The 26,899-nt window shown below is 38.5% G+C and overlaps 2 long non-coding RNA genes across 2 annotated transcripts in view; one reads left to right on the forward strand and one right to left on the reverse strand.

Annotated features, from left to right (window-relative positions):
• The window catches only part of LINC01924 (long intergenic non-protein coding RNA 1924), a 319,511-nt gene that overhangs the window by 91,205 nt on the left and 201,407 nt on the right, over positions 1 to 26,899 (forward strand). The window lies entirely within an intron of this gene.
• LINC01538 (long intergenic non-protein coding RNA 1538) overlaps positions 17,787 to 26,899 on the reverse strand; it is a 46,974-nt gene continuing 37,861 nt past the window's right edge. The window contains exon 3 of the long non-coding RNA NR_033983.1: positions 17,787 to 19,751. This is a non-coding gene — a long non-coding RNA (long intergenic non-protein coding RNA 1538). The remainder of the gene's footprint in view (positions 19,752 to 26,899) is intronic.

Raw genomic sequence — 26,899 nt, forward strand, 5'->3', positions numbered from 1 at the left:
TTTCATGAAAAAGGATGTTTGCACAGAGAACTTAAATCATATCATATATGTGTAGAAAACTTAGGAGACAAGAAAAATACAAGCCAAACCATTCAGGAATCACTAGCTCTGCCCTTCAATAAATTCAGAAGTTGCATCGTTTTAAGCCTAGAATTTTAAACTAACACTTTAATGAGCATTAAGCCTAGCCTTTAATTTAAACAATGTCCTATTATGACCATGTTAGTTAACTTTCCTGAGAAGGCACTGCTTCCTGAAATTCAGACCTGGCCTCCCCTTCAACAGCACACATTGGCTCTGATGCCAGGTGGGAACTCCCCGGACTTCAGAGATTTAAATTATATGGAGTGAGAGGCCAGGTCCACGTTTGTGACAGCCCCAAGTCACCCCAACAGCTTTTGCAAATTCTTGAGAAGCTACTTTCTTAGGAACATCTCTGTTGCCACATCTTGAGACTGAACATACTATTTATGTTTTTTCCATGTCCCCAGAAGGTGACAGCCTCGTCACTGGTTTCCGCACCTCTGCTAAAAACTATCTTATCCCGAGCATTTATGGGTTTTATGCTTCCCTGAGGATTAGTGGGATTCACATCATTTATGTTTTTGACTTTTCCCTCTCCATCTTCCATCTTTAACTCCCTTTCTCTATCTCCTTCCACTTCTTTCCAAAAGAAAGAAAGAAAAGAAAGAATGAAAGGTAAAGAAAAGAAAGAAAGCTGGGGTAGGGGGAGAGAGAGAAAGAAAGAAAGGAAAGAAAGAGAAAGAAGGAAAGGAAGGAAGGAAAGAAGGAAGGAAGGAAGGAAAGGAAGGAAAGAAGGAAGGAAGGAAGGAAGGAAGATAGAAGAAAAGAAAAGAAAAGAAAAAAAGATAGTTATGATTATGCCACTGCCCTCCAGCCTGGGCAACAGAGCGAAACTGTCTCTTAAAAAAAAAAAAAAAAGACAAAAACAAATAAGATGAGTTAAATGAATAAATAAGAAAGAAAGGAAAGAAAGAAAAGAAAGGAATTAAGAAATTCCCCTTTTATGCAGGATTATCTGAGTCCTTCTCCAAAAATGTGTTGACAGAGCGTGCATCTCAGCAGTTTTTTCAAGATCTCCCCCAACTAAGGCGTTCCTCTCACTGTAAGAAGTCACTCACCTGCTACTGAGAGACCGACTTTCTCCATTTCTTTACATTTCAAAAGTTTTTACAAATATGATTTCAGGCAGAGTAAAACACTATTCATTTCTTCACCTACCTCTGGGAATGTTTGGACAACAAATTGACGGCCTCAGTGTAGAACCCTCATTCGGTAGCACAGAGAGAGAGATCTATGGATACACACGCCTTGTTGTCAAACTGGGGTTCTGCCCTGACTGAGGAAGTTGCCATCATTTCAGCAGATGGAGATTTGAGTGAATGACTTCACAATGAATGCAAAATACATAGCCCTCCTCGTCTTTGAAGTACAGCAGTGGTTACTGGGTGGAGAGGAGGCGGTAGGTAACGTGATGCTCTTTAGGTGGCTCCGTCATTAGGAGCACATTTTGGACCAGGCACGACATGGAAGCATCTCAGAGAGTAGCAGAATTGTGCTTATGACGCCAAATATTGCTGCATGATGTGGGCTTAATTTTAAATTCCTGTATCACTCCTACTCATTAGTGATAACTCTGGATAGTGTCTTCTTTCTCTCTACTAAAACACTGGGACACCCTTGCCATTCATTCTGCTATATGAAGATAGTGAATGTTTTTCTATTTATGTGTTACAGGTATAAATAAATAAATGTTTTTGTCCTACTTGGCTCTATCTATGTACCAGAAGTTTCAATATAAACAGGATTTGTAGTGTCTAAATTACTTATTGCTAAATTACCTAGAAAATTTCTAAATAAGTCATTCACACTATCAGTCTATTTTTACAAAATAACAAACTTCCACCAACAAACGATGCTGTGCCTTTGTGACTTGTTAGTTTGCTAATTTGGAGGATCTCACTGCCAGATCTTTTATTGTGTTATGAAAATGAGAAAACTTTCTGTAATCCCAGCACTTCGGGAAGCCCAGGCGGGCGGATCAGGAGGTCAGGAGATTGAGACCATCCTGGCTAACATGGTGAAACCCCGTCTCTACTGAAAATACAAAAAATTAGCCGGGCGTGGTGGCGGGCGCCTGTAGTCCCAGTTACTCGGGAGGCTGAGGCAGGAGAATGGCGTGAACCTGGGAGGAGGAGCTTGCAGTGAGCCGAGATCGCGCCACTGCACTCCAGCCTGGGCGACAGAGCGAGACTCCGTCTCAAAAAAAAAAAAAAAAGAGAAAACTTTCATAATGTATATGTTCAAGGATAATTTGGTTGAAATAATTTCTTTAAAAATGTTGTAAGGGCTGGGGGCCGTGGCCTGTTCCTGTTCTGATCCCAACACTTCCCAAGGCCAAAGTGGGAGGATCGCTTGAGCCCAGGAGTTTGAGACCAGCCTGAGCAACACAGCGAGACCTCGTCTCTACAGAAAAATAAAAAAAAATGAGTCTGGCATAGTGGCATGTGAACCCAGCTACTTGGGAGGCTGAGATTGGAAGACTGCTTGAATCCAGGAAGTTGAGGCTGTAGTGAGCTATGATCAGGCCACTGCACTCCAGCCTGGGCAACAGAGTGAGACCCTGTTGCAAAATAAATAAATAAAACAAAATAAAATAAAATAAATAATGATAAAAAATAAAATGTTGTAAGGTATGACCAATATAAATGATAACAACAGAAAACATTTGTGAAAAATGAACAATTTTGGTTTATCCAATATAGTACATAATTCACTGAACTGCTGATAATCGCTTGTTGAGTGGATACATTATTATTCTTTAACAAAACAATTGTACAATGGAAACTATTAATTAAGGCCATTTCTCCAAGCCCTTGAGTTGTGAATACTTATTTTTAAATTTTGGTAAAATTATCTATTTGTGATTTCTTTGTCAAAGAAACAATTCATATAAAGAGATAATTCATTTCACTGTAACAGTTTAGATATTTTTATAAAAGTTTAGGGACACTGGGCAGGGCGTGGTGTCTCATGCCTGTAATCCCAGCACTTTGGGAGGCTAAGGTAGGCAGATCACTTGAGGTCAGGAGTTCAAAAACAGCCTGGCCAAAATGGTGAAACCCTATCTCTACTAAAAATACAAAAATTAGCTGAGTGTGGTGGCATGTGGCTGTAATCCCAACTACTCAGGAGGCTGAGGCAGGAGAATTGCTTGAACCTGGGAGGTTGCAATGAGCTGAGATTGTGCCATTGCACTCCAGCCTGGGTGACAGAGCCAGACCCTCTCTCAATAAATAAATAAATAAATAACTTTAGGGACACTGTAGTCCACTTCAACAAAGGGTTATCCAAAACTTATTATGTATAAATACTGTGGAATTGGGAATAAAAACTCAAAGTTCTGGTTCTAGATCCTTGAGGAATTGCCACCCTGTCTTCTACAATGGTTGAACTAATTTACACTCCCACCAACAGTTTAAAAGCATTTGTATTTCTCCACATCCTCTCCAGCATCTGTTGTTTCCTGGCTTCTTAATGATCATCATTCTAACTGGTGTGAGGTGGTATCTCATTGTAGTTTTGATTTGTATTTCTCTAATGACCAGTGATGATCAGCTTTTTTTCATGTTTGTTGGCTGCATAAATATCTAGTTTTCAGAAGTGTCTATTCATATCCTTCACCCACTTTTTGATGGGTTGTTTGTTTTTTTCTTATAACTTTGTTTAAGTTCCTCTGGAAACCATCATTCTCAGCAAACTGATACAGGAACAGAAAACCAAACACTGCATGTTCTCACTAGTAAGTGGGAATTGATCAATGAGAACACATGGACACAGGGAGGGGAACATCACACAGTGGGGCTTGTTGGGGGGTGGTGGACTAGGGGAGGGATAGCATGTGGAGAAATACCTAATGTAGATGACGGGTTGATGGGTGCAGCAAACCATCATGGCACATGCATACCTATGTAACAAACCTGCACGATTCTGCCCATGTATCCCAAAACTTAAAGTATAATAACAAAAATTCAAAGTGCTGATAGGCTACTGAATAGGCAAACTGAATAGGCAAATGGGTCATGTCACCATTCATATGATGTATAATAATGAAGGCATGCTATAATAATAGCAAACATTCTTAGGTACTTACAGTGTCTCAGACCTTCTTTCTGAATCCTTAATCTGTATTTTTTTTCTTAGCTCATTTAAAACTCAGAAGAACCTCATGAGGTATATACTATTATTGTCCCTATTTTATAGATAAAGAAGATAAAGAAGGTGAGTGACCAAAATTAGCCAAAATCACACAGCTAGCCAGTGGCAGAACCAATACCTGAACCCAGAGTCTTAAGTCTCATCACACTCTGTAGCAACAACGGGAAATGGTTGATTCTGACTAGTAGCATAGGGGAGGAGGGAGGTTTCACAAGTGAGGAGTATTTGATCTATGCTTTGAAGAATGATGACAGTCTTATCCAATGATAAAGGGAGAAAGACTTTTTAAGGTTGTGCAGACCAGTATGAGCAAAAGCACAGATATGTAGAAGTGCCTGATGTATTCAAAGGAGAACTTACAGCTCCATGGTTGTGTGGTTGGAGACAGAAAAAAAGAGGGAAAGGGTTTTTGCAGTTTCAAGTGTTTCTGTCCAGACCAGAAATGATGTGATTTTTTAGTCTATGGATCATTTCAAGTTTAACATATTGGTATTTTTTCTTTCTTTGCATTTCCTTTATAAATACTCATATTTAGCAACATCAATCACATGCAACACATACAGTTTCCCCAAATTTTGCTCTTCTGTCATGTGAAATGATTGAATGCATGGGTATAAACAGATACGGATTGGTAGTATACATGATGAATTTTGCTAAATAAAGTATTATTTTTCTCTAGATGCATATGAGTAAGTTGAAAATACTAGCTTAGAAATGAGCGAACAGGGTAACATACAATGAAATAATTTGCATACTGGGTAAGCCCAGCGTCTTCACTTCATTAGTTTTTAATTAAGCCTCTGTCTGATTAAGTTATCCATCTCTTTTCTACAACCTTTTGCTTATAATTTTTTTCATTTGGTCCTTAGCAGCCTCCAAGAAGGGTGAAAAGCAGTATTGTTTGATTATCCCCTGATATCTTTCTTGTGCCTATCTTCTATTAAGTTTTGCCAAAAATATAATGTAAAAAATATCACAAATGCAATTCCATAAAATAAGTATAGGATGTGTAGAGGACATAGAATGTATAGAAACTGTGATGATAGTGACATGGACCCTTCTAGAGCACCCCAGGTTAAGACACATGCCCCAAGAATGAATGAGAAGCTTTTCTGGGCTTCTGAGCCTGACTCTAATTCTTCTTAAGGACAACCAAAGGAGAGCCTCAGGCTTCTCAACTAAAATGCCAAAAGATGATGGAGACCAGTCTCACAAGCAGAACGCCTGCCCAGGCCCCTGCCCCGGGCCAGGTATTTTGTAGAAGGGGCCTTTCTGGCTCTCTTCTTACTGTGCTCTTCCTGCAGGTCAAGGGGATATGCCTTCTCAGAACCTACTCCATTCTCCTCTGTTAGACACGGTCCAGACCTCCAAATTCTGGACGCAAAGTCTCCAAGCTGGTTTCCATAGCTTGCAGAGGCCTCTCCCCTGCCTGTCATTCAGAGAGCGGGCTGAACTGCTGTTTGCTTATCTTTTGTTCTGAGGAATAGCCAAAGGGTGGCTACTGTGGCAGCTACTAGATGGTGGTGGAAGAAGCTTGCAAGTTACAGTGCATTGTCCACTGGCCCATATACCTGGCCCCTCTTGGTTCAGGCCAGAGTTGACAGCGAGAAGAGAAGATGGAAGTTCTATGGATCCCAGGCTTTTGTTTGCACCCTTGTCCCAGGTGCAAATGTTAGGAATGAGCATGATCAAGACACTGAACCTGAAGAAGCTTAATTTAAGGAAACAATGACTGTGGAGCACCACACCTCACCTCATGTTTCTTCAGAAGTCGAATTTATTCTTTCACTTTTCTTTTACATTTCTTATTTATGGAACAAATATTTATTCAAAACCATTCTGTGAGCTTATGAGATGGCGTGGCAAAAAATATATATAAAAATATGAGATAGAGGAGGAACACTGCGAGGTTGTGGGCTCCTGGTAACCAGGGGAAGATGGGCTTTCAGAAGGACAAAGTGGTCAGCAGAGACATTGTCATGCAGTCTCAGAATATGCAGATTGAAGTGTCCTCAGTGGCTCAGAGGAGGGAAATGATTAGGTCTCTGGCAGGAGAGGTCCCAAGAAATGGCACAGGCAGAAATGAGGTTGGAGTGAATTAAAAAGTGAACAATGGTGAATGAGGGCCTGGAACTGGTGGGTAGAGTTTACTCTTCAGGATTTTTTCAGTGAAGGTTTACAGGAAGATACTGAAGTGGCTGGAATGGGAGTGGGATTAAGGCAGAAAGTTTTTAAAAGGGGGTATGTTTGACTTTGTTCAAAAGAAGCTGAGATCCCAAGGGTTTGGGGCACTGTAAAGTACACTGCATTGCTTATAACACTTGCATTTGTATGAGACTTGAGTCTTGTACAACAGGTTTTATTTCGATAATAAAATGTCTGCCTCCAGGTTTAGCAATAGGGCAATTTCTAGACAGCTAATCAATACGACTGTGCCCCTCCACCCTGCTCTCCTAATTATGTAATTATCCACAGAGCTATTCCAAGAACAACTAGGCTGAGCTCTTTTCTCTCCACATTTAGCTGGTAGAGTTCTATTCCCTAAGTAGACTTATTTGTTCCCTAAATTTTAATTTATTAACTGTTTCACCTGAAAGCAATCACCTTTGCAGTCAATTCCCTAAATAAAACATCTGCCTTTTCAATTCAGACAGCTATAAGTGAAGAAATACACCAGGGGAGGAGAATTATGTTCTCTTTTAGAAAGCAGAGATGTTTACAAAGACACGAATTCTGGCACCAGCTGCCTGGTTTGCATCATGAATGAGCTTGCATGGGTGCCATGAGAAAGTGAGGCCCGTTAGCCTGTTTCCTCCTGCTCGTCTGTGAAGAGTCTGCTTCGGCTCCTGTTTCTTAATCTTGCCTCTTGTATTGACCTTTTACAGAGGTTACTTGAGAACTGCAAGCTCTGAGGTCATTAGTTCTCACAGTGCTTTGTTTTTCTGTAGCATCTATTTGCATGCCATTTGTGGTTTCAACATGCTTTAAAATAATTTCTACGTTGAGGCCCTAAGGTGCCTTTCTTTGAGTTTGTTAGGGAGGCTTCAGAGACGGATGATATTCCTGCTAACTTTTCTGCAAACCTTGTTCTAAGTACAGAAGTCTGAGGGCAAAAGGTGGGTGGACACCTTACACTAGGTAATATTTTTATCTCTCCTAAGAAGTGTGCATGAGACAGACACTGAAGAAGATGAAAATGTACTATTAATGTACTGAGGGTGTTTTTCCTGAAAATTTGAGCCCTTCAGAGGTTTGGTTTTTAGCCATTGCTGGCAAACAAAGTGGTGGAGACCCTAAATAATAGAAACAATTCAGAGTTCTCTGGGTCCTGCCTGTTTCCAAACCTCTTCTGCTTACAGGAGCTCAGCCATGAGCACTATAGAGCTGTTTGTAATTATAATTCCTGAAAAAGGCACAAGTGCAGACCAGGTCTTGAGGCTTCCCCGGGCAGACTTCTTTCACTCTGCCACATGCATATCTGTACTTCGCTTGTCAGAGAAGCGAGCAGGAAACAAAATGAGCCCCTGAAAGGTTGTTCTCTTTCTTGTGACGGAAAAAAAAAAAGATTTCTGTGATGACGAGCCACCCAAGCAGCCCACACAGCATTGCGCAAGGCAAAGAAGAATGGAAATTTTTGTGGAGCAGAGGTGTTTCAGGAAGTACTGGGGAGAAGAGAATAGAAAAATTTATCTGTGCTAAGAAAGGTCTAGATGTGGCCCCTTATCCCGTTAAGCAATGATGGTTTGTAAATCAGCCCAGGACTTTGGAGGATAGAATTCCACAAGGTCACAGGATTCTTTTCACGGAATCAAAAACATTGGCTTTGGAGCATAACTCCACTTAACCCATGCAGAGCAAAAACAAAAAAGCTGCAATTTCATATACCAGAGGTTCCATGAAGTATATATTGGATGTGAAACAAAGCAGCTGGTTCTAGGTATAAAAGCAAAAGGAAGCGAAAAACCAGCGGACTGTGTGTTAATTTACTCTGGAACTGATTAACAACAGGTGCAGATGAAAATCATCACTACCTCCTACAATGTGTTTTATGACTGGAAATTACCAAAAGTTTCAAAATTTCCTTATGGTGGATGCTATGCTTGAGTAAAAAAGTTTTTTTAAAACTTTCATAACATTTTAAGTCTATACAAACAGAGTGTTTAAAGAGCTATGTTACAAAAAGAAAGAGAAATGCTGCAGTCAAATAACTTGGAACAAGGGTCTTTACTTCCTTCCATCAAATTCAGAAAACTCAACAGAGATTTGTAACTTGCGATAGACGACAGAACACAGTTCAACTTAATCGTATTTGTTGTCTTTACCTCACGTTGATTAGTCAGGGACTAGGCAAATTGTTTAGTTAGATAAATATTTGATATCTTTCAGCTTTCTCATCAGCACAGAGAAGGCAATTTACAAAGCATTTCCTGAATGAACCGAGTATATTATATCCCAGTTATTCTTTTATAGTTTCTTTTCAATTAAAGATAATTTTCTTCTTAAGAGGAGACCTATGTTTCTGATTTCTGATTTCCTCCCTCAAAGAGGTGGCTTACACTATTCTATTTCCATATTACCAATTCTGCCTACATCACATTCTTTTCAGAGCTCAGGGCTTGCTTCCTCAGGTGACAATTTCAGAATGCAGCACTATCCTTTTCATTATCTTTCACTTCCATTTCTGCATTAAGAAACAGTACATCTCAATATCCACTTAACGTAACTGGATTGCTTGTAACTCAAAGGATAAAGGGTTGAGTGAATGGATAACCCATTCTCCACGATGTGCTCATTTCACATTGTATGCCTATATCAAAACATCTCATGTACCCCATAAATATATATACCTATCATTTACCCACAAAAATTTAAACAAAACAAAACAAATATCCACTTAGAGTATAAGGAATTGGTTTACCTCTCTGAAGGAATTTTTAAAAAATATATATTCTTTTTGAGATGGAGTTTTGCTCTTTTTGCCTAGGCTGAAGTGCAGTGGCACGATTTCAGCTCACTGCAATCTCTGCCTCCCAGGTTCAAGCAATTCTCCTGCCTCAGCCTCCTGAGTAGCTGGGACTACAGGCACCCGCCACCACGTCCGGCTAATTGTTTGTGTTTTTAGTAGAGACAGGGTTTCATCATGTTGGCCAGGATGGTCTCGAACTCCTGACCGCAGGTGATCCACCTGCCTCAGCCTCCCAAAGTACTGGAATTACAGGTGTGAGCCACTGCACCCAGCCTCTCTGAGGAATTTTGGAGCACAAACTCAAAGACTGAGCCAAGCAGCATTAAAACATGGGGTACAGAAATTTGTCAGTAGCTTTCCAGAAAGTTTTAGTTACTTCACCACTTCCAATTTGCTTTTACCTTCCAGCAAGTCAGATTCCTTCTGCCTTAGCACTGTACTCTCTCCAACCTAGCACTCATAGTACTGAGCGAACATTACATGTTTAATTCCCATCGCCCCACCAGATTCCAGGTTACACAAAGGTACAGGGTCATTTTATTCTTGTTTATTTTGTTATTCACAGTGCCTCGCACATTTTGAAGTGCTTGATAATTTGCTGAATCACAATGAAGCAACTACTCTTCCCAAATTAAAGAAGGACTGTGTACATTTTCCATAGAGTATTAGACCCGGAAGTCTCTAAAAATCATCTTATTGAACTGTATGAAAGTCCTTGTCTGCTAATGCCCACACCTCCATCCTGTCTGGTTTGTTTTTTTGACTCTGTTGAGAGTTTCCCACCATTAACCCATCTCCTGTGTATCATCTTTTTTTGCTTCTTTGCTCATTTGTAATCTTTGATTGTCTGCTGCACACTGGAGCCTAGTCTGGATTTTGTTTCTTCTTTTAAAGAGTTTTGTTTTGCGCTCTGGCAGGTCCTTCATTTACGGCAGATCAGCTCAATTCTCCCAGGACTTGTCGTTAAACTTTGGGATGAGCCCAGGATTGTTTTGTTCTCAGAGGACTACTCCACTTAACAGCTTTGCGCATACCGCTTGCTAACACTGAATGCCTTCTTCATTTTCTTTTTTCAAAACTCAGGTTAAATTATATCTGTTCAATGGTGATCTGTTCCCTGATTATCAATAAAAAATGTAAATAAGGATGCCATGGGGTGTTGTAGAAGGACCATAGGATTTAGATACAAAGGATCTGAGTTTCACTCTTGACTCTACCAATTTCTCACTCAGAATTTTAATCGACTCAGTTATGAAATGGGCAGTGTGTACCTAATCTATTTCTCTCTTAAGATTTAAGTTAGACAATATTAAAATGCAATTTGCATTATAATAATTTATACTAAAATGAAGACTGCTCTGTAAACATTCTTAAGACCTTTTTTCTCTCTTGTATGTATTTTGAATATTCAACAATAATTCAGTCTCCTTGTGGGGAACGTTCAATCTCTCATTGCTTTTTCCTTCTGGAGGTACTGGAGTGTCTAGTACTTTAGAGTAGATAGCCAACAAATTCAATGAACTCACTCATGGGAAATGTCTGAGTTTTAAGTGAACAAATCTCTTCTTAATATTACAGTATCATTATTCTTTGTTATTCATGAAAAGAGTAGAGCACAAAAGCATAGAAAAATCAAATATTTTCTTAAGTGAGACTTGTTTTCTGTTTTTTGATACAATGTTCTGTTACAGAGACTCTGAAATATGAAATCTGGCGAATAATGGGGTTTACTAACTTAATAACATAACATTTTCATACCAGTAGCAGCTTCTGAGTAATCTTATGCTGTGTGTGTGTGTGTGTGTGTGTGTGTGTGTGTGTGTGTGTGTGTGTGTGTGACGAGGAAAAACCACGCCAGGCTAGAATAGAGAATCAATATTGACAAACTGAATTGATTTTGCATTTGACTTCCCACCACTTATTCCATATCTCACCCACTCAATCCATCTAGCTTACTTCTACATTTTGTACCCCAACCTCACCAGCACCTGTGCTTTGTTTCCTTGTGTAGGTCTCAATTATTTGCAGGCAAACATCATTTCCAAGTTGCAAGTTAAAAATCTTCCAGTAACCTAATTGTAACTGGCATAACATATACTCTTCTAGCTGATCTTAATAGTGCTAACGAAATATTAATGCATTTTTTTATTTACTCACAAATGTCATAAATACAATTAATAATTTTGTCTCTTTCAGATATGTATTTGAGGATAACTGGGGTTGATTTCTTGAGTCTGCTTGGTTCAGCAAGTTCGGATTGGCTCAGCTACTGGCCATATCCTCATTTTGTCCTGGTGGGTTAGGAGGGGGTTTTGCTCCCATGGCTCTGTGTCTGTTGAGTGGGGCTCAGGGTTATGCTGTCCCAGTAGCTCAGACCCTAACAGTAGCTGGCCTTAGACCAGCCCACCCACAGTTCAGTCCCTCTCCCACAGTGCCTTGGAGGCTGTATCTGGAGCAATCAAACACAGGAACAGGTTTAACAGCTCTAAGCCTTTTATTCCTGCTGACCCTGTAGGTCAAGCTCTCCTTACCCCACAGAGCCTATTCTCAGTACCTCTCACCCTCACACAACATTACACAAAGGTGTGGGACCCTGCCCACTAGAGACTCCCAGCCCCTCTCCTACCATCATGCTCTTTCATATGAGGTGAGGGCCACTTGGCATAGCCAGCAGGTAGGCTCTGGGGGCAGACCGCCTGCCTGTGAGGTCCCACTCTCGGCCCAACTGGCTGTGTGACCTTGGCCTGAGCCCCAGGTTCTTCATTTGTAATGTACTTATAATATTCCTTCTTATTTCAAAGGAAGGAATTCCTTTGATCTAAGATTTGATGAGTCTGTGCACATACAGTACCTAATACAGTTCCCGGCACACTCAGACCGTGGAATAAATCATAACTGTTTTATTTCTCTTTCCATATTACATGTAGTTATATTTCTCCATGGTCCAGCTTAGTGTGTTCCTGTAATCACTGCTGCTTCCACCTCACAGGCTGAAGTGAACGAGTGAAAACCAAGTCCAGGAGACCTTTTGGGAAACAAAAGCATTACGCTTGAACCGTGGGTGCCACATCTCAATGTTTATAGGCATGGACATAGACGTGGAGAAATAGGGATACAGATTTTTACATCACTTCGGTGAGGCCAGATGTGCACCCTGTCACTTGCAGACTTTTGGGCATGCACAGAATAAAAAGTGAATGTCCTTGCCACTTGAGCTATTTTAATTTGGGCATAGAAGCCTTTTCCTTTTTGGATGTTTTGTCCAGAAATGTCTATTTTCTCACTGGGTGAAGTATATAGTCTTGAAAGTTATTTTTCCAGAAGTGAGCTTAGATTTAGATTTATTCACAATTGTCCCTTCCCTAATTCACTTCATAGCTAAAGGCACAACACTGAGGCAGGCAGATGGTTGACAGACGAGGAGGTTTCTACCGTAAGCACCTTTTGCCTCTGCATTGAGATTTAACACCAAATTGCATGAGGTGGTGTTGTTCCTTTACGAACTATTCATAGTCAAATTATTTCACTACTTTCACTTTCAGTTTCCTTATCTCAAAATGGAATAAATAATGCTGCGGTAGATAGAATAATGCCCAACCCCAAAGATCTCCCCATTCTAATCCCTAGCACCTATGAGTATGTTACCTTATATGGAAAAAGAGGCTTTCCCGATGTAGTTAAATTGAGGATCTTGAGATAAGGAGATCAACCTGGTTTTGCTTGTGGAGCCCACTGTAATCACAAGGGTTTTTATAAAGAAAAGGAAAGACAGAAGAGTGGGAGTGGGAGGAGGAGATGGGATGACAGGAGCAGAGGTCTCAGGGATACAAGGAAGAGGCCATGAGCCCAGAAGTGCAGGCAGCTTCTAGAAGCCAGGAAAGGCAAGGAAACAGATTCTCCCCCAGAGCCTCCAGAAATGAACGTAGCCCAGTTGATACGGTGAATTGGGACTCCTGACCTCCATAGATATAACACATTTGTGTTGTGCACCACTGAGTTTGTGATAATGTTACAGTAGGTAGCTAGTCCTTTATGAGCGGGCAGGAAAGGGCACCACCCCCATCCCCCACCCCCACACACCGGGAGTGTCGGGCGACCATCAGGTGATGGTCAGGAGGTTGTTAACTGTCTCTCTAAAGTAATAATTAGTCACAGCTGGTACCAGGGAAAGGCCCGCCCCTAATAGATAGAAAACACCTGAAACAGGTGATCAGCCGCTTCTGGATAAGATCTCAGGTGTTGGGAGAAGTGACGCAAGACCCTGGAAGAAGGCCAACGTATAAAACCCCAAGTCAAAAGGTCAAGCTGTGCATTTGTCTTTCAAGTTTTCTGCTTTGCTGTCTTCCAAGTGCACCTTCCTTTCATTCCTGCTGTAAAACTTGCCTCAGTCTTTCCTGCCTGATACCCCTCAAGCAAATGCCTCCTTCTTCTGAGGAGGCAAGAATTGAGGTTGCTGCAGACCTGATATGGATTTTCCACCGCTAACATATTTTGGTGCTGTGTGACTCAGGTACGTTCAGCGGCTAACAATAATTTGTTACAATAATTTGTAGCAGTAACAGGAAGTTAATACCATAATGCCTAACTTGAAGTTTGTGGGGAAAATGAGAGGTAGTGTATGTTAAGCATGTAGTAGATGTTCCAGAATAGCATCATCATATTTCCTGTACACACCTGAGCCTGATAATAGAGCTCCCTGGTCTGAATGTAATAGGTACATTTCCAAAAGTAATAATAGCATTAACATGTGCATAGTATTTTATAGTTTATAAATAATGCTACTTCATGGGCATTACTGAATTAGAATATCATAAGCTTTCTGTGGAAATTATGTAAATTAGAACTGTAAAAATAAAATTATTAAATTCAGCATAGAAGTCTAATAAAATTCCCTATTGCACACACGGAGGAACCATGGATTTCAGAGATTTTGACCTCCTGCAGTCATGAAGTAAGTGCTGGAATCTGATCCCAGTGTTCTCAATTCAGGATTCTTTCCTCCCACTGTATTTTGTTGTAAGCCTCATGTTTCTGTTGTTCCTACTTGTGGCTAAAGACTGGCTGATAGCTTCCTTTTCATCTGTACCCCACTTTTTTTGAGACGGTAAAAATTCAAAGAAAAAGAAAATAGTTTCAATTTTCCTTTCTGCTCTCAACTTCATGCCTATATCCTAAACAAACAAAAGTTTCCCTAGTGTTTTCATTCTTTTCTTTCAGATTTTTTTTGACACCTTTCTAAACTTGAAAGTGCCATTCCTTCACTCTCAAGTATCACATACTTGCAGAACACAAAACAGCCAGGGTTAGAGAATTCTGACTTGTGTTCTGTTACTTCCCTGCTTATACACATTTATGGGACAATTCACTCAACCTCGCCAAGTTTAAGCTCCCCCTCTGAAAATCGAATGCATTGCTATATTACTCTGAAATGTTATTTTCAGAATAACAGCTTCAAATGGTTAGAAAGCTTTTAAAACATTCCTCTTCCATTTAAATGCATGCTTCAAACCAGGCTTCCAAATGTCCAGTGACTCAAAAACACCTTTAGGTAATATCCTCAAAGTAAATTCCAGCCATCGATTGACAGAAATGAACTCCTAGGGTGTTGAAATATACATCTACCCTTTATTGCCACATCCACTCAAGCACTTTACAATGTGAAGTCAAATCTGTTAGACTAGCCCTTTGGACATGTTTGTCTTGTTGGATTCAGGATGTATTCATTTCTGGCTGCCAAGGGTGTAGTTTGCTTCTCTTTAGGTTGCTCAGTTTGAACTGGCATCTGTTATGGATACTGTCTGACTAACGAAGCCTTTTTATTTTCTTAAAGCATGATGTGACCCAGGGAAGTACAGGGATGAAAAAAAAAGACAAAGACCAAGATTTCACACCAAAATAAAATTTTAGGCGAATGCATGATGTATTATTTTCATTAGAATTCAGGAACGTGAAGTGTAGATGCTGTGTTCTGTTAATCCTTAAATCAGGTTTTCTGTAGGTTCCATGCATGTAGCCCTGTTGAGCGTCCTGGCTGTGACTTACCAGCTCTGTCCCCTTTCACAGGGAAGACCAGAGGCTTCAGCTCTTTCATGAATTTCCCCTGAGGGATAAAGTGGCTAGTTATGCAGAATAAATTAAACAGCCTGGGAAATAAAAAAAAAGGCTATCACCACTGTGATGATTCCATTTAGTGTGGCAAATTTGATTTCAGAAGCGGCACAGAGGTGTGAAGTCAAAGGTTAATCTGCCACAGACTGAGTCCCTCTACGCAGCAAGTGATAGTTATTGGCTGGGCTTGTCAGAACACTAGGGAAGCACCTGCTGTCTAATGTCTTACCTCATGAACTCTATATTCCTAGACTTCTCAAATATTTAGGGTTCAGGTAGAAGACATCACCCTAAAGAGAAAAAGCCTAGTGAGTATTTGCAGACAGACAGTTGATTATATTAGTCCTAATTGGCAACTGCAAACACTCCTCTATTCTTTTAAATTATATAACATGTTCACATTTTATCCTCATAAAAGATACCTTGAGGTGATGGAATAACCCTGCTGTACAGACAAGGAAACTGAGAATTAGGAACTTTGGACAACTTTCCTGAGATCATTAAGATAAGTAGAAAAGGCTGATAACAGGTTTAGCCCTGACTCTTTTGCCCTGCTTGCTACCAAATAATATCATCATTAAACACGGAAAATAAAAGGTGCCCTGCAATATTTCTCTACCATAAAGAATAATACAATGAAATGTCAAGTTTATCCTTTACTCATGCATTTTCCTTACACATCACAGGTGAAACTAAAAAATAGATGAGACACAACAGTATCTTCCAGCCATTGACACAGGATTTAAACATATATATATTTGAGATAATTTGCAAGGTTTGGATTTAAATCCCTGAAGTGGGGCCTTTGCCTTGTTTACATTGTAATCCCAATTTAATAATAAGCCAATAGAACACCCACAGGTTCTTTCTGATCATAGGAGTGATAATAATTCATTTGATGATCTATACATTCTTGAAAAGCAACATTCAATTTTCCAGGGAAAGCCCAACTTGGGTTAAATGCCAGTTTGAGGGGAAAAAAAATCAGAATATATATTTTCAAATGTGACAATGCTTGTACCTCAAATGCAAGGTATTCTCTCATAGCAACTCAGGGTCCCTGGTGTGCACTAGTGAAGAGAATAGACTCAATTGGTCACACAGTCAGCTCAAGGAGGCATAAGACAATGATAAAGAAAAATATAAAGAACCTTATATGGAAATGTCGCAGAGGCCCCAACACTGAGATAACGAGGAGTCTGGGGAGAAAATATGCTAGCAAACTTAAAACCCAGAGTGCAGCCTTAGGCAATGTGTTTTGAGTGAGGGTGCAGATTCTCAAAAAGTAAAAGGCACTATGAAGTGAAGTTTCAGTCATATGCAAAATCACCTGTCTATATGATCTTTTAGTCATCCATGCATAAAGATAGTATTTGCTCTCAGTACCAGCACTTTGTCCCCAAACAAAGTTATGGGGGTGTGGAAGAGACAGTGAAGAATAAAATATGCCTCTGTCCTCACTTTGCCAGTGAGACCAACAAGCAAAATGATCAGCTATACTGTAACTTTATTGCTGTTTTAACAGAGGCAGAAAGTGTTGTTTATATCCAGAAAAGGGATAATTCTGATTGAGTTGAAAATGACTTATTAACAAGGTAATCTTTGACTTGAAATTTGAGGAAGAATATTATTTTGTAATAGGAAGAAAGAAAAGAAAGGTCATTCCAGAGAGAAAGTGGAATATTTGCAAATATTAGGAGGGTGGCAGGAAATAGCATGTTTGGGCTATATCCTATTTTGGGAGTTCATTGTCCATTTTAAGAATCTGATTAAAAACAGAGACCTCTCCCCAGAAAAATGCACTTATCTACTTCTGAATCAAAATGTAATATATAATTTAATGGGCATTATAGTATTAAGTGAGATTTACCAGTTCTATTGGAATAACATAGTACATATTAAATTAGTCTTCTAATAGTAGTCAGACTCTAGTACTGACTACCATCGGAAATGGACACAATTATTTTGCTCTTTTAAGTCCTCATTTCATCATATAAGACATGTTTACTGCACAATGGCCTTAGATTGAGAGGATACCTTTTAGTCAGAGATTATTTTTCAAATTCAGGGCAATGATTTTTTTCCTCTTCATCAGAGAATTTCTGGTTTTCTTTTTATTCTTCCCTGTTCACTTTGGGCTGTTTGCATTTGTAATATGTGCAAGTGCAGCATCTGTCTCCAAGTGACTTCCTGTGTTCACTATTCATTGAAGCAATGAAGCATTTGAAATGCAAGAACATTTCTCAAAACGTTGTTGCTAGTTAATAATTCTTCATGCTCGGAATATTGCATCTCTTGCACCTTGAGTCTATTAATCTTGAGACTAACACGAGTTACATGGTTCTCATTCTATGCCCTTAAAGAATACAACAGAAAGGAGGTGAGGAAAGAAGGGAATTCAGTCAAGAGTGTCTAATTGGAACCTTTCAGCAAACATTTTTTGGGGTGGTACTAAAGTCAAGAAATAAATAACTTTATTAAAATGATATTTTATTTATTGGATTAAAAACTTTGATATGTCAGACTCAGGAATATAGGTAATAGTCTGAAAAACCAATAAAAGATTATCATTCTAGTAGAAAAATAAAATTGGCCCAAAACCACATAGAAAGATATTTAACCTCAACAGTAGTTGAAAATAATAAAAAATAGTAAATGGAAATGCTATTTTTCACCTAACCGATTCTAAACATGAAAAGTGAAGGATGATAACTAGTACTTTTTAGGAAGGGTGAAACAGAGTATAAATGGGTATAAGTTTTTTGAAGGGCAAATTCGCAAATCATGTCAAAATTATAGGAAAAAATATATATTGACTTAGTAAGACCTCTTTTTAGAATTTATCCTCAGGAAGCATTATATACTTATAAAAATGTTTACACAAAAATATTCTTGTCAAAATTTTAACATATTGAAAATTGGAAACTAAGTTTCCTACAATATGTATTGATTTGCTAAATATGTTACATGGGTTTATACAGTAAAAGTTGCTACAACTATTTCACATGAAATATACATGTGTATTTACTGTCATAGAAAGGAATTTACAGTGTTAATTTTGAAATAGCAACTTGTTAACTGAAAAATATTTTCCTCAAAAATACGAATATAATCTATTTAAAAATTATGTTTTACAAGAAAATGTTTAGAAGTATATATAGCAGAATGTCAATAGTTATCATCTCTGGATGATAGGATTTTAGGTAACCTCGTATTTGCTCATCTACATATTTTCAGCTTTCTAAATGTGTATTTGTGTAATGAGAAACATGGAAAGTATATAACAGGACAACAAAAAAGATACATAGTTTATTTAATATTTTATTAGATAACCTGAGTATAGATACAATTTAACTGTGAATAATTCTAAGTTAATTTTTCTTCACTTGTCATTTGATATTCTTTGTCTTCCCCTGTATCTAAGAGAAATACTATAGTATATTAAGCAAAGTAAAGGAGCAGATGTGGATGAAAAGTCTGTAATAAATTCCATGTGCAGAAGCTATGGAGTACATCTACAATGGTGTGTTGGCCAATTCAGCACTCAATTAACAGAAAATTTGCAATCTGGTCTAAATAAGTGTCCAAATAAAATGGTAATATGCCTTACACTGCCTCATAACTAAAAATGAAATTTCTTAAAAATGATGAATAGAAGGAATCCTTTAAATTTCAACTTTTCTTTCAACTCTCAGTGGGGCCAGAAAATAATTTTAATAACAACACACAGCTAGTATTTCATATAGAAATGGAATCATGCCCTAATTCTGTCATGAAAGGATGCAATGCTTCTGTGGCCCTTTGTCTGGTGAATTGACCAAAATCAGACTTCAATTCGGTCATTTATTCTGGTCAATTCACAAGCATATAATGAATGCCTCTGACATGCACAGTACTGTTTTAGACCCTAAAGGAGGATTGACGTCTTGGTCATAGTCATTGTCAACAAGGAGTTAGGAACTAATTTGAAATTAAGACTTACCTATGAAACAGTGTGTAGTGATAATGAGGTGTATGCCTTTATACTTCTAGACTACTGGTGCAAACACTTAACAAGTGGTCAAGGAAGGAAGTGGGGAGAAGCTTGAGTGAGTCAGGACTCAAAGGATAAACTGGACTTAGAGATATGGAATGGAAGGGGAAAAGCCAGTCCAAAGAGAACATGGTCACGTGAGGAGTGAAACATTTTCTCTTTAAACTATGTCTTAGTTTAGTTCTATGAAAATATATGATGTGGGAGCTCCAAATTTAATGTTGACCAAGCTGGTTTTTCCCTTGGACTGCTGAATTGACAGGTAGAGGAAGGGTATTCAGGGATAAAAAGTAATGTAAATGGTTGACTTTAAGATGAATTACTTACTGTGTTATGTTTTATTCATTCAATAAACGTATTTACTGAATGTCCGACGTGCCCCAGGAATTGCGCTCTGCAGTGGCACTGCAATGGTAAACAGAAGATAGTTCTTTACTCCTGTAAAACTATTAAGAGTATGATTCTGATAAAGCTTTTCATGACTGCATTCATCTTTCACTGCATACATATAAAATGCAGTTTATTCTTAGAACACAGTTTCAGTAAAATAAAAATTAATAAAAATGTATTTTATCTGGTAATGTCTTTCCAATGAGTCCATTAGAGAAATAATAAATATGACTACATATTTTTTGCAAGTCTGTATTTTAGCCGTATAATGTGGTGTGATGGCTCTCAACTATTTTTTTAATAGGCTCCACAGGCTCATAGTGAGAAATATATTTTACATCAGGTCTCAGCACACCCACTTCCCACACACAAACACACACACACAAATAAAACAAAACTTTTATAAGAAATAAAAAAGTGAAATGATAAAGTGTGGGGAAAGATGGACTCTTTAATAAACTGTATTGGGACAACCTGTTATGCATATGGAAAAAAATGAATTTGTCCTTACTTTACCCCACACATAAAAATTAACTCTCATGATATTAGAACTTGCAAAATGAAAAAAAATCAGCACTCTAAGTTAGAGGGAATAAAGAAAAGTGTATGAGTGAACTGAGTTGCAGAAGATTTCTTAACACACGAAAAGACACATCCTAAACCGGAAGTAGAAAAAATGAGCAGCCTTCAAATTAAAACACATAAATAAACAAACTTGAGTATATCAATTGATAAAATGCAAAAAGAAAGGACAAACATGTCCACTGAATAAAACAGTTTTGTCCCCTCCTACAAAATTCATATGTCGAAGCCCTAACCCCAAATATAATGGTATTTGGAGGTGGGGTCTTTGAGGAGTAACTGGGTTTTGATGAGGTTTGGGGCCCCTTGATGGGATTAATGCCCTTATAAGAAAAGGAGACTCCAGAACTTTTCCCTCTCTGCCATGTGAGGAAACAGGGAAAAGGTGGTCCTCCGCAAGTCAGGAAGTGGGTCCTCACAAGAACCAAATCTGCTAGTACCTTGAGTTTAGACTTCAGAACTGTGAGAAATAAATGCCTGTTTTTTAAGCCCTACAATCTATGATATTTTGTTATAGCAACCTGAGCTGACTAATACGTATTGCTTATAACCAGCTAGCATTAAAATGCAAAATATATAAAGATTTCTTCAACTTACAACAGTAGCAACAATAACAAAAGCCTTTCTATAAAAAAAGGAGAAAAAAGATGAACAGGTGATTTACAGAAAATAAACTCACAAAAATGCCAACAAATACATAAAACATTCTCAACTTCACTCACTATTGGGCAAATGAAAGCTAAAACTACAGTAAGATGGCATTTCATAACTATTAGTTTGGTAAAGCCAGTTTGACCATAGAGATATTGCTTAAAATGTGGTATATGTGAACTCTCACACATTGCTGGTGTAAAGATAAATTGTACAAACGGCCCATTTGGGAAGAAATTTGGCCAAATGTAATGCTAGAGATACTCTTGCTTATATCTGTATGTAGACCTATAAAAAACTTTTATTTCGTCATAAAAGCAAAATGTGGGAAACAACCTAAAGGCCTATCGATAGGAGAATGAATAATTAAATAATGGAACATCAAGCCTAGGAACAGTATGCACAAGTTAAAATGAATGAACTAGAGGTATATGCATTATTGAAGGTAAATCCCACAGAATAACTCCAAGTGATAAAAGCAAATCAAGAATACGTAAAGAATAATATTTACATGCATATTTAAAATATGCTTATTGTACTATATTTTATATGAACACCAACATATTTATTATAAATGCATGACAAACCTTAAATCAGGAGATTGGTTACTGCTTATGTGAGAGGACCCTGAGATCATCCTCAAACTTGACGATTTGCTAGAACTCAGAACTCAGTTTTTACACTTATGGTTTATTACACAGAGAGGATACAGATAAAAATGAGCAAAGAGTAAAGGCCTATGAGGAGATGTCCAGGAGAAACTAGGCACAGGCCCCCAGGTGTCCTCTTCCAGTGGAGTCATGTAGATGTGCTTAATTTTCCCGGCTGTAATGTACGACAACACACGTGGAGTGCTGTCAACAGGGAAGTTCACTTGAGCCTTAGTAAGTGCATGAGCCACTGCAGTGATGACCTCAGCTACTCAGATTCCAGCTCCCCAGGTGAAAAACAAGTTCTTACTATAAGTCATATTGTTAGCATCAACTATCTGATCTTACTGGTATACCTGGCTCAAGGCCTCAGGAATAAAAAAAACACTCTTACGAGGAAGAATATGCCAAGGGCTCAGACCTTACCTTCCAAGGAGCTTACTAAGGGCCAGACCTGAAGACAAGTCTTTCTTGAGAGTGTACAGGGTTTGAATTCAGGCCTGTCCAGTTAATCTTTTCCTGCATAAGCTGGAGAGGCTAGAAGGAGGCTGGGAATGGCAAAAAGAACAAAGAGGACTTCAATGTAGAATGCAATTTATTTCTTATACTGGGATGGGTGGGTAAATAAGTGTCCATTATGTAATTCTTTGGACACTTTTATCCTAATTGCATAAAAATATAAAAAGTCAATATACTAGGGGAGTATCACTTCATACAGATTCCTCTAAAAAACAGTTAAGATAAATTAATAAAGGAATTTTTACAAATGATAAAAAAATAGCTACAAAATGCATGTGGCTTTGGCCTGGAAATAGTACACCCTATCAAAGACTAAATTTTCTTAATGAAAACAATGCCAGAGCTTTTTTCATGATATTTTGTTTTTAGAGATGGGGAACAATCTGGACGTTGTTTCCTTATCTGGGTGGTAATCGAGGCTTAGCAATTTCCCACAGCGTTACACAAATCCAGATTATTCCACATTTTGCAAATATGTCTTATTCTTTTTTGCCCTTTGGGTGAGTATTGCTTTTTGTTTTCATTCCATGATCCTCCTTTTGTTGACCGTGACTCCTGCTGCTACTTTAAGACTCATAAACACAACCGTCTCTGTGAAGTGTTCCACTACCACTAACCCAATAACAACTACTAGTGTTTATTGATGCCACAGAGCATTCTAAAGGTTTCCCAAGCACTAAGTACTTGAACTTTCATGATACCCAATGACGTAAGTATGATCCTCATCTTATCAATGAGGGAACTCAGGTACCTAGAAGTAAAGACATTTAGCCAGGGTCACACAATTAGTAAATGAAGAATGAAGGATGGGACCTGGCTGTAGAACCACAGTCTGTGTGTCTAACAAGAAGCTTTGCTGCTCCGTGGCTCTCCTCTCCTTCAGGATTGTGCTTTTACTGTGCCTTGTATGTAACTTCATTGTTGCATTTGTGGATTGATGGATGTCTCCTTCCCCAAGCAATGTTTTTGAGGTCCTACAGAATCTGTATTTCCTAGCAAAGACCCAGTATAGAATAGGAGTTAAAAACATTTAATAAATTACTCATGAGACTATAGAATGTAGATTTTATTAGGATGTATACTTAGGTGTAAAAAACTAATGTATAGGAAATTTCAGAATAGAAATACTGGGAGGAGGAAAAAAAGACCTTTAAATTCCTTTGTTTTATTCATATTTCAGTAAGAATGATAAATGATGAAGCAAAAGTATATAAGCTACTCCTGTGTGTTTATTTGAGTATTTTTCAGGGAAACATATGTCAATGTAGATGTTACAGTAGTGAATGAAAAATCTAGAATTGTGCTTTCATTTTATTTTTCTTAATCAAAGGGATTAATATTTAATCATATTTTGATGTTTATAATCATTCATAATACATATTACAGACTCACATGTGTTCATTTCTGTTCATTTTATAAAGACATACCTGTATCTTTTATTGTCATTAGCAAAGCCATTTTCACATTCTATAGGAAAGAATTACCTATAGATCACCGTAAAAAACAAAACAAAACAAAAAAAACCCAAAAACAGTTTACCAAGTTAGTTCCTCTTCTAAATTGTTGAATTGTATTGATGGTAAGAAGAAGAAATATCTGGTATGCTGTCCGAGCGAGACCTAGTTCCTTTTAACTTACCATGTTTTAAGGGGGTTGCCAAAGAGGGTGCTGGCTTTTGACAAAATAGCCTTTATCCTTATTTCTTAAATTCAACCTCTATAACAATTTACTGCTTCAATATTTTGCTTGTTTTTTCTTTCTTTCACATTAAACATTTTACCTGCTTATATCCTTCAATTTGGGGTTTATTTGACTTCCACGGCCAAGGAAATGACCCTTTCTTACGTTAAATCTTGGCCATAGCAATCCAAGTTAACAAATCCATTTCCAAGCAGATCAGGAGGGGGACATGAATCAAAACAATAAACGTGTGAGGCTGAACCACTGACTTTTATTTTTCTTGTTTTTAGATTCAACACTGTTACAGAAAATAAAAACCCAAGCCCTTGGTATCGAAATTAGTATTGGAAGGAATTTTTTATAATAAAAGTTCCCTGTGAGTAGGTGCATCGAGTTACTGTTCAAAAGGGAACGTTTTCTTTGCATTGTAGCAAGCATATGGAAACCTTCACCAAGGAAATAGATATCATCTTCTATCAGCCCACCCTAAACGAAAGCAAGCAAGCAAGCTTAAAATTGGTAGAAGAGTTGATTTCGCTACATGTTTATGTTAATAGGGTATTTGACTTTTGAATGCTTCATAAACCTTGTTATGCTCTGTGCTATTTGAGGAGTAAAACAGCTGGAACACTGCCAGAAGCCTTAATTGGAATCAGCTTAGCAGGGGCTGACAAGGTTTCCTAGTGTTTAGTTTCAAACTTATTATAAAAATGCAAAATTATGTGCTATTTATTTTCTATTCCTCTTTGGTTTATGCCCGTAAAGGTAAGACTTAGCTGCATTAAGGAATAAACTCATTTCTCTCTTGTCTGCCCCAGGCTAGTACTCAAGAGTCAGGCAGCCTGGGTATTGTCTCTTCTAATTAGCTGTGGCCTCACTTCTTATGCGACAGAGAATGTCATGGGGCTCCTTCCCCCATGCGTTTCGATTATTGGCTAAATGATCGCTCAAATGGCCAATCTGTGGTCGAGTTACTGAGCTGTGTGGTCCATCTGTCACCAATCTAGTGAGTAAGGCCACAGAAATATGTTCAAAAATGGCTTTGGGGGGCTCTTAGTTTTCTCCTACCAAAGGGTCACATTTGCTCTTGGTCAAATATCGCAAGCAGGCTCTTGGTTTTATTTCAAGCTATGAGAAGTAGATAAGTTTTTTGCTTTCTGCCAAACTTTAGAGAAGTCATGCTTTTTATTTTGTTTTTTGGTTGGACTTTTCAGCTTCAATTGGCTCTAGTGTTTCAACTCGTTTATATCCCTTACTATACTGTTGCCTGACATGGACAAAATAGTCCAGTTCCTTTAAAAAAAAAAAAAATCATAGGCCAGGCGCGGTGGCTCACGCCTGTAATCCCAGCACTTTGGGAGGCTGAGGCAGGTGGGTCACGAGGTCAGGAAATCGAGATCATCCTGGCTACAATGGTGAAACCCCGTCTCTACCAAAAATACAAAAAATCAGCTGGGCGTGGTGGCGGGCGCCTGTGGTCCCAGCTACTAGGGAGGCTGAGGCAGGAGAATGGTGTGAACCCGGGAGGCGGAGCTTGCAGGGAGCCGAGATTGCGCCACCGCACTCCAGCCTGAGCGACAGAGCGAGACTCCGTCTCATAAAACAAAACAAAACAAAAACCACATGAAAAACCCCACAAAAACTTAAGTACCTACTATGTGCCAGGCAGTGTGCTGGGTGCTAATGACATCAATAGATGAATAACACATAGTTCCTGTCTCGACATTGTTACAATCTTTTTGGGATGAAACAGAAATTTGATCAGATTATTTAGAATTAGTGATGAGTGAACTGTGAGTCAAAATGTTGTCTGTTCAGCTGGCCCAGAGGCAGCCAACCCCAGCTTTTCAGTAAAAGGTCTGCAAGGACACAGAAAAGGATGCAAACTCAGCCTAAAGCTGAGATAGATAAAACCTAGTGCTAAATTCTGAAAGGAATTTTCTGTTCTTATAAGGAACTGGGTTGAGAAAAGAATGTCTACTTTTTACGTCAAACCACGCACTCTACTTTTGCTCTGTGGGAAAGACATTGCTCTAAAATGAGACAGAGGTGCTTTACTTAATCCTCAGCCTCTCTCCCTAGCTCTGCAAAATGTTGGATGGAAGGGCCACCTGGGCATCCTTGCCTTGTTACTGATCTTAGGAGGAAAGCATTCAGTCTTCTGCCATTAAGTGTTATGTTAGCTGACACACTTTTGTAAATGTTCTTTATCAAGTTGAGAAAGTTCCCTTCTATTCCTAGTTTACTGAGAGTTTTATAAAGTACAGATGTTGGATTTCTGTTAAATTCTTTTGCTACATCTATATAGATCATGAGATTTTCTTTTTTAGTTTTGTTAAATATGATGAGTTACACTGATTGATTTTTGGATGTTAAATCAGCATTGCATTCCTGGGCTAAATCCAGTTGTATGCTTTGGGTTTTATTTATTCTTCTTATTCTGGTTTCTTAAGGTGGTCTTTGATTTGAGATCTTTTCTTTTCTTCTAATATAAGAACCTAATGAATTTCCCTCTAAGTCCTGCTTTAGTGTTGTTCTACACATTTTGATAAGCTATGTTTTCATTTTTGTTAGGCTCGAAGCACTTTCTAGTTTCTTTTCAGCTTTTCACTTTGACCCACAGGTTATTTTGTTTCAAAATATCTGGGAATTTACCAGATGTTTTTATATTATGCATATCCAATTGAATTTCTAATTTAATTCCATTAGTGTCAAAGAACATACTTTGTATGAGTTGAATCCTTCTAAATTTATTAAAAGTTATTTTATGGGCTGGGCACTATGGCTCACGCCTGTAATCCCAGCACTTTGGGAGGCTGAGGCGGGTGGATCACCTGAGGTTGGGAGTTCGAGACCAGCCTGACCAACATGGAGACACCCCATCTCTACTGAAAATACAAAATTAGCCGGGTGTGGTGGTGCATGCCTGTAATCCCAGCTACTTGGGAGGCTGAGGCAGGAGAATGGGGTGAACCAGGGAGCTGAAAGTTGCGATGAGTCGAGATGGTGCCACTGCACTCCAGCCTGAGCAACAAGCGTGAAACTCTGTCTCAACAACAACAAAAAATAAATAAAAAAGTT

The sequence above is a fragment of the Homo sapiens genome, chromosome 18, assembly GCF_000001405.40.
Source record: "Homo sapiens chromosome 18, GRCh38.p14 Primary Assembly".
NCBI classification, from domain to species: Eukaryota; Metazoa; Chordata; class Mammalia; order Primates; family Hominidae; genus Homo; species Homo sapiens.